Below are 19,896 nucleotides of genomic sequence, written 5' to 3'. Positions count from 1 at the left end.
GAGGCTGGAGAATCGCTTGAACCCGGGAGGTGGAGGTTTCGGTGAGCTGAGATCGTGCCACTGTGCTCCAGCCTGGGCAACAAGAGTGAGACTCTGTCTTAAAAAAAAAAACAAAAAACTGTTTACAAATCTAAAAATTATTCCTCTCCAACCCCTGATGTAGAAGACAGTAGGTCGAGAAAACAATATCTTTATTGTATTAATAATGTCAATTTTCCCTTTCTTAAACTTTTACCTACTGTAGTTATATTCAAATATGAAAATTCAGCTAGTTTTTTTTTTCTTTTTTTGGAAGAGATGGGGGTCTCACTGTGTTGCCTAGGCTGGTCTTGAACTCCTGGGCTCAAGCAATCCTCCTCGACCTCCCGAAGTGCTGGGATTATAGGCATGGGCCACGGTGATGCCCAGCCTCTAGTTCTGTCTTAATAAAGGATATCTGAATGTATTCCTAACATGATAATTTGTGAGCGATCCCAGATGCCTGATTAACTGACAAAGATTTAGATTTGTGTTGAATGTTCCCAACACAAAGAAATAATAAATGTTTGAGATGATGGATATGCTAATGATAAGTATACATTATATGTATTGAGACATCACTACCCCATAAATATGTGCAATTATTATATGTCAATTGAAAAATAAAAAACAAAATGTAAAAACCAAACACACAAAAGATTGAAATTTGTAGAGAATAGGAACAAATATTGCATACATTTTCATTTGGATATAGTCCGTTCTACAACAAATACTAAATTACTAAAAAGACATGTGTTTCATTTGAAAACTGCTGGATTTATAGTTTATTCCAGATGGTTAGAAATAGCAGTCAACCGGGCCAGGTGCGGTGGCTCACGCCTGTAATCCCAGCACTTCGGGAGGCTGAGGCAGGCAGATCGCCTAAGGTCAGGAGTTCAAGACCAGCCTGGCCAAGACCAGCCTGGCCAACATGGTGAAACCTCGTCTCTGCTAAAAATGCAAAAATTAGCTGGGCGTGGTGGCGGGTGCCTGTAATCCCAGCTACTTGGGAGGCTGAGGTAGGAGAATTGCTTGAACCCAGGAGACGGAGGTTGCAGTGAGCTGAGGTCACACCGCTGCACTCCATCCTGGGCAACAGAGCGAGACTCCGTCTCAAAAAAAAAAAAAAAAAAAAAAAAGAAAAGAAATAGTAGTCAACCTGCAGTATTGCCTCAAACTGAGCACAGACACTGGAACTGAGAAACAAGATGCGTCAGCTATTGCTTGGGGACAGAAGGAAATGGCCTAATTATTGTTGCCCTCTTCATGAGTATTCCCAAAGTAGGCCACACTCACATCCTGGTTTTCTCCCCTTGGAATACTCACCCCTGATGACCTGTGCTAGGCCAGCACCCTCTTTTGGACCATGACAGGACCTCCAAGCACTGTCCCTAGCAGGGAAGTGCCACCTGCAGCAGCTGTCACTTTTCCCTTTGGTCCATCTACTTCCCAAACCCACTCAGAAAAGAGGCCTGTTACTGCTTCACCTGTGTTCTCTTGCTTTAGAGGGAGACAAAGTATAACGAATATCAAGAACCAAGCCTGGATTGCTAACCAATAAGAATTTTCTCTGATTCCTGCAGACAATCTATGTCAAACTAGAACATATTCCGTATCTAAACCTAAACTGATTTCGTACTTCTCTTTTTCCTAAGGGGTATAACCACAACGTTATTATCTTTTTGGTCATCCCCCATTCATCAGTGAATTAAAGCAAGAACATTTATTTATTTATTTTAGTTATAAGTAAAGTATCTGTAGATCCACCGAGGTTTAGCAAGAGTTGTACTTAGGGAAAAACTAGTCTTAAAGAACATAGCATATCACAAAGCTATTGGCGTTAACCCATTTATGTATTCCTCTCTTTATTCAGCTGCTGTGTGCCAGAGATTGTGGCAGGTGGGAATATAGGAATACTAAGACAGAGTTTTTTTTGTTTTGTTTTGTTTTTTTGTTTTTTGTTTTTTGAAATAGAGTCCCACTCTGTCACCCAGGCTGGAGTGCAGTGGCGTGATCTCTGCTCACTGCAACCTCTGCCTCCCAGGTTCAAGTGATTCTCTTGCCTCAGCCTCCCAAGTAGCTGGGATTACAGGCACACACCCACCATGCCTGGCTAATTTTTTTGTATTTTTAGTAGAGACACGTTTTTGCCATGTTGGCCAGGCTGGTCTCAATCTCCTGACCTCAGGTGATCTGCCCACCTCAGCCTCCCAAAGTGCTGAGATTACAGGTGTGAGCCACTGCGCCCAGCCTCTAAGACATAGTTCTTGGCTTCGAGGCACTTATACAAATAAGCTCCCTGGACTGGGGAGCAACTTGGAGGTGAACACAAGGGCCTCTGACAGCGAGCAAGGAATATCTCAGTCGGACTGCATGGCCTGGGCTTGTGTTGTATAAAACTTCTGGAAACCCCGTAAAAATTGGGGAACATGATTTTGACTTTAAAAGAGAACTAACTCTAAAATAATTATTCTATTTCGAAATCCAGAATCTGAAGAATAATCATCCATCCAAATTTGAAGATCCTATATTAGTTCCTCTTCAAGAATTTGCATGGCATCAATATCTACAGGAGAAAAAAAGGGTAAAGGATATTTGGGGTGTGGGGGATATAGACAACAAGCCAAGTTTTGCCTGAATTATTTATGCATTGTTTTGGAAAAACTGAAAGAGTAATTTTAGTGTAACTAGATTTTATTTCTCTACATTACGTACTTTTCCTAAATTGTATTAATCATTTACCAAGCTAGGTGTTTTGTTTTTGAGACAGGGTCTCACTCTGTTACCCAGGCTGGAGTGCAGTGGGGCGATCTTGGCTCACTGCAGCTTCAACCTCCTGGATTCAAGCAGTCCTCCTACCTCAGCCCCGCAAGTAGCTGGGATTACAGGCACACGCCACCACACCTAGCTAGTTTTTGTATTTTTTTAACAGATGGGGTTTCACCATGTTGCCCAGGGTAGTCTCAAACTCCTGAGCTCAAGTGATCCACCCACCTCGGCCTCCCAAAGTGCTGGGATTACAGGCGTGAGTCACTGAGCTCGGCCACCAAGCTGTTTTTTGTTCTTGTTTTTGTTTTTGACTACAACATTTGGGCTGGGTGTGGTGGCCCACACCTGTAATCCCAGCACTTTGGGAGGCCAAGGCAGGCCGATCATGAGGTCAGGAGATCAAGACCATCCTGGCCAACGTGGTGAAACTCCGTCTCTACGAAAAATACAAAAATTAGCTGGGCATGGTGGCGCGTGCCTATAATCCCAGCTACTTTGGAGGCTGAGGCAGGAGAATCGCTTGAACCAAGAAGTCGGAGGTTGCAGTGAGCCAAGATCCCACCACTGTACTCCAGCTTGGTGACAGAGTGAGACTCTGTCTCCAAAAAAAAAAAAAAAAAAAGTGCAACATTTACAGAATTTTCCTTTGGAAAGCATGAGATAAAGGTAAAATCAATGGTGCCGTTTGCCGCTGATGATGGTTAGTTACCCTGTCTCCCTGCACATCACTTATACTTCCTCTCACACCCTGGCACCGAGCTGGTTAATGTGGCCTGGCCCTCTTGGCCCTTAAACTCTGGAAAGTGTTGATGGTGTACATCACAGAGACAGCCAGGGGCTTCTGTGGGACTGTTGCCTGGGGAAGCTCTGATGACAGACACCAAGCTCCCACAGGGCAACCCTGTCCTAGTTGAAGCTTCCTTCTCTGCATTCTCCCCTCTATCTATACCCTCAGAGAACTCCACACCTTAGGGCTAGCAGAGCTTGTCCAGGGATGATAGTTTTCCTGTTGGGTGACAACCTGTTCAGTTGGTAGTGCTGCCTGGAGCATGTGATGAGAAGAATGCTAAGGTGGCATCCTGGCTTAGCAATATCCTGTGTTGGGGAGGGTGGGATGCTTGTCACCCCTGGCCTAGTCTTGTAGATGGTCCCAGTCCTAGTTTCCCTGCCCCACCCCATCTCCCCCATGGCTGATGAAACCTCATTTCCCTTGACCAGAGCAGTTTCGATTGTTCTGTGCTGGGTTGCACAAGGATGTCCTGTGATCCTGTGATTAATTATCATGGAAGCAGCACGGTTTTATGAGACCACTTCATTCTCTGTTCAGTCACATGAATGGTGCAAGACTGAATAAGAATACCATTTGTTAAGCCTCACATGTTCATAGCCTTAAAAGATTCTCATTGGAATTCAAATAGAACCAAACACTTACAATTCTGCTTATTATATGACAGACAGTATTCTAGACACACACACACCCACACACACACACAAACACACATATATATTCTTTTTTTTCTTTGTTTGTAGAAACAGGGTCTCGCTATTTTGGCCAAGCTGGTCTCAAACTTCTGGCTTCAAGCAACCCTCCTACCTTGGCCTCCCAAAGTGTTGGGATTACAGGTGTGAGCCACTGTGCCCAGCTTATATACATAAATTATAATCCTTCCAACAACTCGGGTGACAAACGGTCCTGGTTTGCCTGGGACTGAGGGGTTTCCTAGGATGTGGGAATTTTGGTGCTAAAAGTAGGATAGTCCTAGGCAGACCAAAACTGTTGGTCACCCTAATATAAAACAATACTTTTTTTTTCTTTTTTATCAAACTTGTTATGTGACCTACCAGTGTCATGCTCTCCACCCACAGGAAAACTGTCTCATGGTTTGTGGTTTGCACCCACTCCTCTTTTGAATTCCCACTGGACTCTAGGAAATTGGTGTGGATTCTATTCCCCAGTTTCCCTCCCCTTTCAGCCTAGGTTACCTCAAGATGTTTTGTGTTCTCTTCCTCCTGCCTTTCTCATGGGTCTTGAATGAGGCTTTCCAGTTCATCATTGCTGCTTCGTTCCACCTGTGATATTCCTTATCCTTCCTTTCATCCCCCTCCCTCCCTTCTCCTCTGGCTGTTTGTTACCTTAACCTTTTCTTCCTTCTCAGGTAGTCCCTTGTCCTTCATCAATGTAAGTATTGTGTCTTGTGTCATAAGTAGTGCTTCTTAGCTCATTTGGTCTCTCTGAACTCACTAGGTTCAACTGGCCTTAGGCTTCAGCAGAATGAAGTGCCACCCTAAGTGGATGGCTTCAGGGCCATTGGGAAGGTCCCTCTCTCTGCTCCAAAGAAGGCAGCCTCATACTCTTAGTGCTGAAGGCCCTAGAAACCATCAGGTCCATGCTGTTCACATGAGGCAGGCGAGCACGCCTCCCTAAGTATAGAGGAGACAGAGGAAGGCATTTACATCTTTAGCCTCCAAATAAAACATACCTTCTACTGCATTTTTCCTACCAAGCTAGCTGAAATATCCACAGTGACATTTTTTTCTCCCGTTTAGAAAGTTCTGGGTCCTGGCAGGGTGTGGTGGCTCACGCCTGTAATCCCAACACTTTGGGAGGCCGAGGCGGGCAGATCACCTGAGGTCAGGAGTTTGAGACCAGCCTGGCCAACATGGTGAAACCCCATTTCTACTAAAAATACAAAAATTAGCTGGGCATGGTGGTGGGCGCCTATAATCCCAGCTACTCGGGAGGCTGAGGCAGGAGAATCACTTGAACATAGGAGGCAGAAGTTGCAGTGAGCTGAGATCACACCATTGCACTCCAGCCTGGGTGACAGAGCAAGACTCGGTCTCAAAAAAAAAAAAAAAGAAAGTTTTGGGTCCTGTAAAATATGGTAACACTGATAAATTTAAACACTCCAGGAAGTATCGACCAACTGGCTCTATCAGTGATTTATAGCTCAGCATAAGCAAGTCTCTTCTCTGCCTAGAAGCAGGTTTTGATAAGGGCATAGGAAGCAAGCAATAGGATATTAAATCTGCTGAGGAGAATGAAGCAAGTTGGCAAGTTGAATGTAAACTGTTCCTCAAACTAGTGTTTCTCCCAAGTGCAGTCTCTAGAACAGCAACATCAGCACCTCCTAGGAGGTTGTTAGAAATCCACATTCTGGCGGGTTACAGTGGCTCACACCTATAATCCCAACACTTTGGGAGGCTGAGGTGGGAGGATCTTGAGCCCAGGAATTCAGGACCAGCCTAGGCAATATAGTGAGACCTCATCTCCAAAAAACAAATAAATAAATGCAAATTCTCAGGCACCATCCTAGAATCAGAATATTGGGGGAAAGGGAGAGGGGACTCAGATTCTGTGATTCTGAGAATCTGAGATCAATGAGAATCTCAGATTCAGTGATTCTCATTGCCCACGAAAGTTTGAGCATGGCTGTTCCAAATTATTCATGGTTTGCCTGGCTGGTACTGGGTAATAATAAACCAGATCTCCTCAGAGGGGAAGTCCCTCAAGCCCACCGGAGATTTAGAAGGTTTACCATCAGCGTTGTGTTGATGAAAACACTAACACACTGCATTTTGAGGGGCTGAAGGCACTGTGCTGAGGAAGGTGAGTTTTCTTCCTCACTGCTCCTAGTTGTGCCCCAGAAATCCCTGTTGACCCTCGTAAGTCATTTCCTAACCTTAAGCCCCACACTACCCAAAAAACATTTTCCCAGTCCTCTGCATTGAACCCCATGTCTTACCTGGACCCCCTATCCTTTCCAAGTATGCACACAGTAAAATGTGCTTTAGGAATGAAGACAGAGACTGAATTTTGTTTGCAAGTTAATATATTAACAGGTATGCCAGGCTCATGATGATTTTTGTTACCAGATTACCATTTATCTTCTATTAATGTGTCGACCTAAAAGGAAGAAGCTGAAACAAAATTAATATAGAGTGTTAATTTGGGCCAAGGTTGAGGACTGCAGCCCAGGACACATTTCCAAGTTGCCTTGGGGAGTGCTCCAGAGAACAAAATAGAGGCTCAAGTGTTTAAAGAAAAAAGAATGAATCAGAAGAAGGGCGATTACAAAAGCTGTTGGTCAGGAATTGTCATTGATTTACAGAAATAACATTGGTTAGCAATTGGCTATATGTTGTTGAACTATAGGGTGGATGGCTTTTTATGGCTGTTTGGTGTCAGTCTAGAGCCCACATAGTAAGTGGAGGTAATTATTTAGCTCAAGGGAGAGTGAGACATAACTGCTATTACATTTTAAATGCCTTTCTGGGCATGATAATTTAAAGGGGCTCACATTCCTCAGATAAATTTTTTTTCATTTGTAACATTTTTATGATACTTTTTAGATCATTCTTTACTTTTAGTGATGTCAGATTCTTAAAAATGTTCTTAAGTTCTTTCTGAGAGCAAAATTCTGAAGGACGATAAAAACTTATTTTTAAAAGATTCAATACTAGAGTTGACAAATTCAGACCTAGAGTTGATCCTAAGCTCTGGCTTATGGGTTTAGCAAGTTTTCCCCCCACTTCTTACGTTTTTTTTTTTTTTTGTCCTTTTCCCTTACAGGAACTCAAAAATGAAACCTGGGAATATTCTTCCTCTGTGATTTCTTTTGTTAATGGTCAGTTTCTGGGTGATGCATTGGATCTGCAGAAATGGGCCCACGAGGTGTGGGATATAGTTGACATTAAACCCTCTGCACTTTATGACGCACTCACTGAGGATTTTTCCGCTAAGTTCTTAAGAGACACCAAGGCAAGTTATACTAACTTTTAAAGAAAAATTGTGGAATCTTTGACCCTTTATATTGATTCAGCATTAATTATTGATGTCCTAATGAAGGAGATTATAAAAAAGTAGGAGACTAAGTTTAAAGCCTAGTTCCATTTCCATTTGCAAAAGATTGTAATATGGTGGTATGTAAAGCAAGTGTGTCTCACAGCCCGTGGGCTGCACGGGGAGATCATCTCTGTGCAGACATTTTTACTTCCCATTAGAGATTTATATGCATGAATTACCTATTTTAAAATATAAAGACCACCCCCTCAGAGAAGGTAAAACCTATCATCCATTCATCTTGAGTGTGAAATATTTAAATTAAGACTGTCCAACATCTAGGCAAGAGCTGCTGAGCTAAGAGAATGGAAAGTTGTTTGAAGAAAGGTGACATTTTAAAGCATGAACACAGGCCGGGCGCGGTGGCTCATGCCTGTAATCCCATTACTTTGGGAGGCCAAGGCAGGTGGATCACAAGGTCAAGAGATCGAGACCATCCTGGCCAACACGGTGAAACGTCATCTCTACTAAAAATACAAAAATTAGCTGGGCGTGGTGGCGTGTACCTGTAATCCCAGCTACTCGGGAGGCTGAAGCAGGAGAATCACTTAAACCTGGGAGGTGGAGGTTGCAGTGAGCCGAGATCGCACCACTGCACTCCAGCCTGGTGCAGAGCGAGACTCCGTCTCAAAAAAAAAAAAAAGCATGAACACATAGTTAGCAAGAGCAAGCCCAGACAGGCTGTGCCAGTGGGGAGGTTTCCAGTGGCAGAGGATAGTCATGAAGCATGAGGTCCAGGGATGAGAGATAGTTATCAGGATGTGATGGCAGTAGGGGTGGAGGTACTTTGCAGTCCTGCTCAGAAACCTTCTTGTAGCAACAACTGCATTGTGCAGAAAATCATTTCATGCCCATGGCGGCCTGTGCCTACAGTGAGCCAATGCTAAGATCTGAGTTGTGCATAGGTAAAGGCCTTGTCTCATTCATCCTTGTTGAACCACTGCTCAAACAGACCTGAAACATAATAGGTGCTCAGTGCATGTTTGATTGAATAAACAGTGCACTTTGACAATGCTAGAAACTCTGGGGTGTGGGGAGGCATTTAATGTTCAAACAGTTAATTCCCAAAGGGTCAGGAGTCTAGCTGTACATGCCCTGGGAATGGCAGGGGGACAGCAAGGAGGCCAGAATTTGTGGGGAAAGAAGCTGGGAAGATGAGTTTCAGTCAAGATTCTTGGTGCCAGCATTACCAAGCTCCTCTGATTGATCGAAGGCGAAAAGGTGTGTATTGAAAGGATGCTGTTATCTCACAATTGACAGGAAAGCTGGACAACAGCTTTGGAAAACAGGCGGGAACCAATGAGGCCTGGCAGCAGGAAGACATGGCCAGAGTCACACTGCAGGGATGTGCTGCCAGGGAACTGCCATGGCACTGCTGGCCCTTGTTCACACCTCCACCTTCAATGAGATTAACTGTTCAATGCTTCAGTGTCTTTTCATCACTCCCTGGAGACCTAAGCCCAGGCAGGAGCACCTAGCTGGCAAGGCTAGGTCATATTCCCAAAACCTGGTGCTCTCAGCATGGGGAGAGGGAGAATCTGGCCCCTTTAGGTTCTAGTGAAGGTGGTGGGACCCTGTGAGGAGTTCCCCAGATAGGAAGGGTACTCAGATTTTAATTAGGAAAAAAAAAATCCAATAGATCCTAAAGAAAGATTGAGGCTGGGTTATGATTTATTGTCCATCTGAACGAAGGAGTTGGATTTTATCCAGAAGGAAACTGAACCAACAGAGCTTTCCATAAAAGAGTATGACGTAATCCTCTGTTTTTCTGGAAAAATGTTTAGGTCTGTGCAGAAGCAGGCTGGAGTAGGGGAGAGCTTGGGAGCAGGGGATTGGATAGCAGCATGGGCTGGACATAATGAAAGCCCGAAATAATTCGTGGCAGTGAGGATAGAGGATAGTCATGAAGCGTTCCAGAGACAATAGATTTTTTTTGCACAGAGGGTGGACTTTTCTTCCTGAATAAAACCCAGGGATTTGTTTACTTCCGGTTAGAACCATATGGTAGATAAATATGCTTGCCTGTTTGGCTGCTAGATGACTGGGACATTACCTTGTGTTGCATTCATTTGAACTCTTATTGGCATTTTCAGAACTATCTATTCTGGACTATCTCATAAAGATAATATCTTGATGCGCAGGGAAGTTTAATGGTGTCTGAATGGACAGTAAGTCCATTTCCTAAGTCAGCCATGATTTCCAATATATCCTCTTTATCCTCCTGAGCCTCTGAAGTTTACTATATTATGCCTCCTATTCTTTAGTTACACTATTCTGTTTTATACTTAAAAACTTGTAGTATAGAAGCTGAGAGGCACAAATTAATTATAATTAGTATGGATGGAACAGTTCATTGCTAGATGCCAGATAGCACAATATTATTTCAGTCTTTTCATTAAAAAAAAGTTAGAGTGACATAAAAAATATGATACATTTAATTTCATGTTTCCTAGATTCTTAAGAAAGAGGACAGGACAAGTTATGCACCTTGCTCAATAAGGTGGTTTTTTTTTTTTTTTTTTCTTCATAGGGTCTCACTCTGTCACCCAGGCTGTAGTGCAGTGGCACAATCATAGTTCACTGCAGCCTCAACCTCCCTGGGCTCAGGTGATCCTATTGCCTCAGCCTTCCAAGTAGCTGGGACTACAGACACATGCCATCATGCCCAGCTAATTTCTTAATTTTTTTGTAAAGACAGGGTCTCACCATGTTGCCCAGGCTGGTTTCAAACTCCTGGGCTCAAGGGATCCACCCACCTTGGCCCCCTAAAGTGCTGGGATTACAGGCATGAACCAGGGTGGCATTTTAATGTAGGAGAATGGTGCCCAAGACTTGAAATGTACTCCATTAAATGTGCTTTAGCCCCTAAATGAATGCTATTATGTTGAAACTAGCATTTTCATTTTGAATGCCTCTTTGTAGGGCTAGACAAGGTCTCACAAATGTTTTCCTCTATGAGAAAGGATATCAAGTGAAGACAAGCTGAGGGCATCTGTGCACATGAGGGTATTATTGAATATAACTTGAAAGCCCAGCATCCTTCTCTTCCCTATCTCTGGTGCTACACCTGCTATGGATATAGGGACCTGATTTTCCCACTCAGAACAGATGTGGCCTGGCTCTGGTTAGCTAATCTGTGCTGTCTCTGAAAATCCAGGACGCACAGTAACCAAATCCATGATGTTCATGATGGATCCTTCCCAAAAATAGGAAAGAAGCGAAGTAGAGAAGAATCCCCTGTCTGTTTTCTTCCCCACACTAGGTGTGGCTATTTCCACACCTAGTTGTGATGTGGTAGATATCTAGGCCATGTGTTTCACTCCTGTGAGATAGGTTAATGTTCTCCAGAGCTTTCACTCTGGAAAGGTTTTTAAAATGTATAATGTGGGCTGGGTGCGGCGGTAGCTCACGCCTGTAATTTCAGTACTTTGAGAGGCCAAGGTAGGCGATCCCTTGAGCTCAGGAGTTCGAGACCACCCTGGGCAACGTGGTGAAACCCCATCTCTATCAAAAATACAAAAATTAGCTGGGCCTGGTGGTGGTGCATGTGTGTAGTTCCAGCTACTTCAGAGGCTGCGGTGGGAGGATCACTTGAGCCCAGGAGGTTGAGGCTGCAATGAGCCAAGATGGTGCCACTACACCCCAGCCTGGGGGACAGAGCCAGACCCTGTCTCAAAAATAAATAAATAAATAAATACAATAATAAAAATTAAAATGTGTAAAGTGGGTTATAAAAACTTGATAAAATGAAATAAACTAATACAAGTCATTCACTTAATTTTACTGTAATATTATCCATTGGTAATGTTATTGAAATCTTTTCACTAAAAATATTGTATCTGCTGTATTTTTGGTCATTTCTGAAAACTTTCTTGTAAGACTTTGACCTGCATTATATGATTCTCCTTAATCTTCACAGCATGATTTCGTGTTTTTGGACATTTGTATTGATTCTTCTCCAATTGGAAGATTGATTTTTGAGGTGATACTTTTTTTTATATGTAAGTTTGTGGGGGTAGGATCTATAACTGTTGGAGTGTTAAATATTTAATCTTTGAAACCTTTTGTCTTTATTTTGTAGCTATACTGTGATGTGTGTCCCAAAACATGTAAAAATTTTCAGGTCTTGTGCACAGGAAAAGCAGGGTTTTCTCAACGTGGCATAAGACTACATTACAAAAATTCCATTTTTCATCGAATAGTACAGAATGGCTGGATACAAGGAGGGGGTAAGTTTAAAATCTTAAATACGAGTTAATTGCAATATCAAATGAGAAGGTCCAAACTTTCATTTATCTTTATGAAATGTATGTAGAATTAGATATACTTAAAATTAGACGTATTTAAAGAATGCTTTATATAGCCAAATAATGAAGTAAGATATTTGTATTCTTTAAAAAACACCCTAATTATTAAAATAAATAAATCTAATTTATGTTACCAGGAATATTCCAAATTCAAAAATGACATAGGAGAGTAGGGTGACATTTTATTTTACCAATTTTATTTTTACAAATTTTAAATGCTCACCTAAATACATAGTACCTAGAAATACAGCGGTTTTAATAAGTATGCTAAGAGTGGGAATTTGAAAATATAGTAAATGGAAAACAACTTATTTCTCACCAAACATGTTACATTATTACAAGTAAAAAGAAATGTCTAAAGGATTTTGGTTTCTATGTTCTCTTTCTTTTCAGGTCAGTCCTTTGGTTTTACATAGACTAGGTGTCTGATTAAAAGCATGGAATTGAATATTGGGCGCCTTTTGGGGGATAGTCCATAGGAAGCAACCAGGCAGTAATTTACACATAATTGGCTTAGTGTCAAAGGAAATTTGCTTGAACTCGATGACACATGGAGAAGTTTAAATTAGTTTTTACCATTTTTTATATGATCTGGAACATTCTGAGGCTGACGAGGAGAAAAATATAGATATATTCCAAGCATCCTACATGTTAAAGCAGGTATTTTCCCTTTGGTTTCTCCACAGTGAGATCATACCACAAATATTGTTATCTAACCTCACTTTCAAGTGTTTTTCCATTTTGTGTCTTTCCACTGAATATGTGGTGTCTATCTAACCATGCCAATGAACATAAACATACAAAATGTTTAGCATCTGCCTAGTTTTTTTTATCATATTGCTATACCAGTTTAATTAATTCCCCATTGGTGAACATTTAGATGGTTTTCTATTTTTTGTTAGTATAAAACATTTCTCAAGGGGTCCTGTTAATATTAGGGGCTCCTGACAATGAGTTCAGTGTTGACTCTCATGTGCTAGGCTTTCAGATGCTGTGTTCTTTTTTTTTTTTTTTTTTTTGAAACGGAGTCTCGCTCTGTCGCCCAGGCTGTAGTGCAGTGGCACGATCTCGGCTCACTGCAAGCTCCACCTCCCAGGTTCAAGTAATTCTCCCTGCCTCAGCCTCCCGAGTAGCCAGGATAGCAGGGGCCCACCCCCACACCTGGCTAATTTTTGTATTTTTTTAGTAGAGACAGGTTTGCCATGTTGGCCAGGCTGGCCTTGAACTCCTGACCTCAGGTGATCCGCACGCCTCAGCCTCCCAAAGTGCTGGGATTACAGGCATGAGCCACCACACCCAGCCTCAGATGCTGTATTCTTTTGTTTCGTTTTATTTTTGTTTTTGCTTAGCTCCCACCACCCTTGCAAGATTTGGGAAAAGTAGGTCATATTATTTGTTTGTGTTTTTATTTATTTAAAGTAAAATTTCCAAATAGTAAAGTGCACAGATCTTGGGTCATATTTTCAAACAGTGAGACAGCAATGTTAAGGACGGCTTGGGAAAAAGTTGGATTGCTAGATTCAAATCCAAGCTCTGATTCATGTAAGTTATACCATCTTGATAAGCTGCTTAGCCTCTCTGAATCAGTTTCTTAATCATAAAATGGGGATAATGATAAGAATATCACAGGATGTGGTGAGGATTCAATGACCTGGTGTGTTGGAAGTGCCAAACTCTGGAAACATCCTCTCTCCCTACAGATGTCCAGTTCCCATGATCCAGACCCCAAGAGAGGGTTCTTGAATCTCTCACAAGAAAGAATTCAGGGCGAGTTTGTTGAGTAAAGTGAAAGTAAGTTTATTAGGAAAGTAAAGGAACAGAAGAATGGCTACTCTGTAGACACAGCAGCCCCTGAGGGCTGCTGGTTGCCCATTTTTATGGCTATTTCTTGATTATATGCTAAAGGTGGATAATTCATGCTTCCCTTTTTCAGACCATACAGGGTAACTTCCTGATGTTGCCATGGCATTTGTAAACTGTCATGGCGCTAATGGGAGTATAGCAGTGAGGACCACCAGAGGTCACTCTCATCGCCATCTTGGTTTTGGTGGGTTTTGGCTGGCTTCTTTACTGTAGCCTGTTTTATCAGCAAGGTCTTAATGACCTGTATCTTGTGCCAACCTCCTGTCTAATCCTGTGACTCAGAATGCCATAACCATCTGGGAATGCAACCCAGTAGGTCTCAGCCTCATTTTACCCAGCTCCTATTCAAGATGAAGTTGCTGTGGTTCACGTGCCTCTGATACCACGGGACTATGTAGAATTTTGGAGGACAGGAGCTAAACGTGGTTTTGTGCTGTGCCTTAGGATGCCTCCAGGCACTGTTGCTTGCCCTTTGGGACTAACAGGCTGTACCCAGTCAACACTGCCTGCCCCTCCTCCTCACATCTTATCTTCTGACCTCTTACACACTCGGTTGCACACACAGCCTCTGGCTGCCTCCTAAGCACATCAAGCATGCATTGGCCCTGAGGCCTCGTTTATTTTGCCTGGGGCACATACCGCCCAGCCTGTTCCTGCAGGTATCCCTTGTTTCACCCCCTGCCCCCAACCCCACTGTCTGTTTCTGATTATTGCCCAGAGATTGTCTGGGCAAGGCCTTACCGGACCACCCTATATGAAACTGCCATCTTCCTGTCCACACACACCGCTCACCCCTCCTGCCACCCTCCTACTCCTTACCTTGTTTTATCTTTCTTCCTAGCACTTTTCATCATTAGACATACTACCATATGTTTCTTAGTTCATTTGTTTATTGTCTGTTTCTCTAAATTCCATGGGGGCAGAAATTTTTATCTATTTTATTCACTATGGTATCCCACGTACTACAACAGTGCTTGAGATATAGTAGGTGCTTAATAAATACTTGTAGAAAGAAAAGAAGGAAGAGAGTGTAAGAAGGAAAATAGGTGGTTAAACAGGAAACATACATTCTCTGCATTTTTAAAGTCCAAAGTTAAGATAGCAAGTCATTATACCACTTTGGTTGGATTCCCCCTCTGGCTCCCTCGAGGCCTACTTCCTTCAGAAGGATTAAAAAAAATTGATACCAACACTTTGTTAATCAAAGAAAATGAAATAAACTTTTTTACACAAAAAATGATCATGTTTTACATAAGACTAAAAGATATATATATATATAAAATGGGTGAGGATATCCAGGACCCACCAAATAATTCCAGTAAGAAAATTCAAACACTTAACAAAGATTCATTTTTCAATAGCCCATTAGTCACAGAACAATTACCCAACTATTAACAATTAAACCTACCTGTATATTAAAAATACATTTCATTTCACCCATACATCCAACACACTTTAAAATGGATAGAGGAAAATTTTATTAACTGGCTTTAGAAAAAAAAAAGTACCTATTGAACTCATATATTATTATTATTATTTTGAGGCAGAGTTTCGCTCCGTCATCCAGGCTGGATTACGTGGCACCATCTCAGCTCACTGCAACCTCCACCTCTGGGGTTCAAGTGATCCTCCTGCCTCAGCCTCCCGAGTAACTGGGATACAGGCACGCGCCACCATGCCCAGCTAATTTTTTCTATTTTTAGTAGAGATGGGGTTTCACCATGTTGGCCAGACTGGTCTTGAACTCCCAACCTCAAGTGATCTGCCCACCTCAGCCTCCCAAAGTGCTGGGATTACAGGCATGAGCCACCGTGCCCAGCTGAACTCATATATTATTGCTTAAAGAGAACATACCAAATTCTTACCTCAGTGTTCCCTTGTAAAAAAAAGTGGAAATCCATAGTCCAGAGAGACTCTTTAAGAATGAGCGCTGCTATGGTGTGAGTTGGCTGAAGGTTAAGAGATATGAATGAAAGTAGTAAAAACAAATAAAAACAGAAGAATGAGCCGCTGATAAGTACAATATGTTTATAACTCATAAAACATTTCATGTTGTGAATTTTCTCGAGCATACCAAATAATTAATATGCTTCAGGCTTTCCATTTGACTTACATTTATAGGATTTCTTTCCAGTAGGAGCTTTCACACGACTTTTAAATTAATTGTCTAAATGAACTTTTCTGTGTTTTTCTAACTACTAGGGTTCTAATCAAGTGTGCATTTTTATGTTCATAAGGTCCATCTCCAGTGTATATTATTATGTGACTTTGAATGGATTTGAGAGAAATGAAGACATTCCCACATTCTTTTTTTTTTGAGACAGGGTCTTGTTCTGTCGCTCAGGCTGAGTGCAGTGGCACAATCACAGCTCGCTGCAGCCTCAACCTCCTGGACTCAAGTGATCTTCTCAGCCTCCTAAGTAGCTGGAACTACAGGCACACATTACCATGCCTGGCAAATTTTTAAAAATGTTTTTGTAAAGACAGGGTCTCTGTATGTTGCCCAGGCTGGTCCTGAACTCCTGGACTCAAACAATGAATCCTCTTGCCTCAGCCCCACCAAAGTGTTAGGAATATAGGCATGGGTCTTAGCCTGTCACCCAGGCTGGAGTGCAATGGCACAATCATGGCTCTCACTGCAGCCTTGAACTCCTCCCACTTCAGCCTCCCAAGTAGCAGGGATTACGGGCACATGCCACCATGCCCAGCTAATTTTTAAAAATTTTTGTAGGCCAGGCACGGTGGCTCACGCTTGTAATCCCAGCACTTTGGGAGGCTGAGGCGGGTGGATCACGAGGTCAGGAGTTCGAGACCAGTCTGGCCAATATGGTGAAACCCCCCTCTCTACTAAAAATACAAAAATTAGCTGGGCGTGGTGGCATGCGCCTATAGTCCCAGCTGCTCGGGAGGCTGAGGCAGGAGAATCGGTTGAACCCGAGAGGTGGCCGTTGCAGTGAGCCGAGATGATGCCACTGCACTCCAGCCTGGGCAACAGAGCAAGACTCTGTCTCAAAAAAATAAATTTTTTTTGTAGAGACAGAGTCTCACTATATTGCCCAGGCTGGTCTTGAACTCCTGGCCTCAAGTAACCCTCCCACCTCGGCCTCCCAAAGTGCTGGGATTACAGGCATGAGCCACCACACCTGGCCACTTTCCATACATTCAGAGCTCTTCTCCAGAATGAGTTGTTTTATGTTATCAAATAGAACTAGAACACCAAAGGCCCTTACCGCATTTCCTCTATTCATAAGACGTTTCTTCAGTGTGAGTTCAGAAGGATCTTTTGAGATAAATTTAATGCATTTTATTATCATCATCATCATATTGAGCAGAATGATGAAGATGATGATAATGAGAAGGGGCATTCTAGAAGCATGTGATGCTGCATGGGCATGACACTCTGCCAAACACTGCCTGAGTGCTCTACCTATGTTATTTCATTTCATCCTCAGAGCTACCTGTGAGGCAGTTACCATTATCCCTGTTTGTACAGATAAGCAAACAGGTTTGGAAAAAGTAACTGACATCAGCATTTTAATCAAAGATCATCTGACTTTAAAGTTTGCTTTTAACCACTATTTGGCATCTCTGAATTTGTTGTCAGAAGTATAGCAATAATATCAGATATACAAGGCTGAATTCAAGAGGGTGGATATGGCCACAAAAAAGAATAGTAAATACGGATTGAAATGGTGTCAATATAAAATATTCACCTAGGAGATCTGAAGCAGAGGACAAGAGTAATGTTGGTGGGTGTGGGAGGGAGGGGGCAAGGGAATGTGACCAACGGGTAGGTAAGTTGGCAGGGGAGAAGACCACCTGGGTGGATTTCCCTGAGAGAACCAACCCCTAGGATCTGAAGGGATTGATGGTGGGGGGGCCCTCAGCTTCCCCATTTCCAGATTCAGCCTTCAGCCATGACAACTTCCTTTCAAGAGCTGCCTGGGGCTGGGTAGTGAACCATGGCTGAGTTTTAGGTGAGTCAGGTTGGAGACTTAAGGCTTGTCAATTAACTTCTGAGCCAGCTTTCTGAGTAGTATAATTTAAATGCTGCATGGCCTTTCTGGGATAAATTCTCTCTACATGCTTGGTGCTGCATCAGTTTTCTTTGAAAAATAGCACACACACTTTTATTGTAGGTAAATTGCTCATACTGACTTTAAAAAGCATAGTCCTTCAATAAATATTTATTGAGCACTGTATTAAAGGAGGCAGCAGAATAGAGCTGAAGTTAGTAGACAGATACTGATGGGGAGGATGGGGGAGAGAGGACAGACCTCAGAGCCCGCTCTTTTCACTAGAGTTAGCTTTGCTCCTCTTTTAGCTGTGGATAGATAAAAAATAACTTGTTCATGGAGTCTTTTTATAGTGGGAGCATTGCCTAAACCAAAATATGCGTAGCATGTGAACACCTGAAAAAAACCTTGTTACATTATAGGAAACTTTATTTCCAATATGCTAGGTAAATAAATGAGTTATCACTATAGGATATGAAATTTTGAACATGAATTCTGTTTGCAGCACCTATTTTTTATTCATATTCTTTTTTTTTTTTTTTTTTTTTTTTTTTTTTGAGATGGAGTCTCACACTGTCGCCCAGGCTGGAGTGCAGTGGTGCGATCTCAGCTCGCTGCAACCTCTGCCTCCCGGATTCAAGCAATTCTCCTGCCTCAGCCTCCCGAGTAGCTGGGATTACAGGCACCAGCCACCACACCCAGCTAATTTTTGTATTTTTGGTGGAGACAGGTTTCACCATGTTGGCCAGGCTGGTCTCGAACTCCTGGCCTCAAGTGATTTGCCTGCTTCGGCCTCCCAAAGTGCTGGGATTACAGGTGTGTCACCGCGCCTGGCTCTATTTTTTATACATATTCTAAAAATAACTTACTTTTCCTGTTTTAGCCTCTTAGTTTAATCTTGATCTCAGAAAAACAAGATAGACTGGAATAACTTATGAAGAAAGCAGAATTTATGTGAACATACTTTTGAAAAATTGTGACCACAATTATAATTTAATGCTTCATCCTTTCAAAAGTTTGCATTATCATGAATGTAAAAGTGCTTATAAAATACAAGTGAAATTATTATAGTAATATTTTCATAGTGTGGATATTGAATAATTAGGTAACTTATTCTATTCATTGGTATAAGTGGAATCATATTGCATTCTTTTGTTTTTTTTTTTGAAATGGAGTTTCACTCTCGTTGCTCAGGCTGGAGTGCAATGGCGCAATCTCGGCTCACCGCAACCTCCACCTCCTGAGTTCAAGCAATTCTCCTGCATCAGCCTCCCTAGTAGCTGGGATTACAGGCACATGCCACCACGCCCAGCTAATTTTTGTGTTTTTAGTAGAGACAGGGTTTCACCGTGTTGGCCAGGCTGGTCTCGAATGCCTGACCTCAGGTGATCTGCCTGCCTCGGCTTCCCAAAGTGCTGGGATTACAGGCGTGAGCTACCATACCTGGCTGATTCCTCTTTTTTTTTTTTTTAATCGAGATGGAGTCTCATTATGTTGCCCAGGCTGGTCTCAAACTCCTGGGCTCCAGTGATCATCCCACCTCAGCCTTGAAATCATCATTGAAAGCAAAATTTTTTCCCTGTCATTATTGTATCCTAAATCTTTTCATCTCAAAATTCTAATGTTTATTTGTTGCTATTTCTCAGATATAGTGTATGGAAAAGGAGATAATGGAGAGTCGATTTATGGTCCAACATTTGAAGGTATGTATCTTTACATTTTGTTAGTTATATATTAGTTGATTATTCAAACTTAACAGGACTGGACAGTTTCACAATTCCAAATAAGATATCACTGGGGGCAATACTTACAGTACAAGCAAGAGGTAAAAATGAGCAGATCGGGGGGAAGCGCCCTAAGGCCCGACCAGAGCAGCTTCATACACACATATTTTTTTCACTTACCTAATGATATTATTTCTTTAGGGTAAATCCCAGAATTAGGATTGTAGAGTCAAAGGGAATTTATATTTTTAGGGCTTGTAATTTCCCGTGCTGATACTTAGAACTGGTACCTTGATAATCATTCTATTTAGATTGCTGTCAGGTGGCCAGGTATGGTGGCTCACGCCTATAATCCC

General features: G+C 42.2%; 1 protein-coding gene across 12 annotated transcripts in view; it reads left to right on the top strand.

Moving 5' to 3' along the window:
- The window catches only part of PPIL6 (peptidylprolyl isomerase like 6), a 50,957-nt gene that overhangs the window by 2,466 nt on the left and 28,595 nt on the right, over positions 1-19,896 (top strand). For 6 of the 12 annotated variants that reach the window (NR_104429.1, NM_001111298.2, NM_173672.5 and 3 more), the window contains exons 2-6: positions 2,507-2,602; positions 7,361-7,549; positions 11,550-11,612; positions 11,712-11,859; positions 19,463-19,519. Coding sequence is in view for 11 of the 12 variants with exons in the window: in NM_001111298.2 (NP_001104768.2) it covers positions 2,507-2,602; positions 7,361-7,549; positions 11,550-11,612; positions 11,712-11,859; positions 19,463-19,519 (553 nt within the window). In the remaining variant the exon portion in view is untranslated. The remainder of the gene's footprint in view (positions 1-2,506; positions 2,603-7,360; positions 7,550-11,549; positions 11,613-11,711; positions 11,860-19,462; positions 19,520-19,896) is intronic. The other 6 variants (NM_001286361.1, NM_001286360.1, XM_047418673.1 and 3 more) reach the window with 2 other exon arrangements.

The sequence above is a fragment of the Homo sapiens genome, chromosome 6 (assembly GCF_000001405.40).
Source record: "Homo sapiens chromosome 6, GRCh38.p14 Primary Assembly".
NCBI classification, from domain to species: Eukaryota; Metazoa; Chordata; class Mammalia; order Primates; family Hominidae; genus Homo; species Homo sapiens.
Note: the sequence above shows the minus strand (reverse complement) of the source record. Positions and strands in the feature narration are given on the sequence as shown.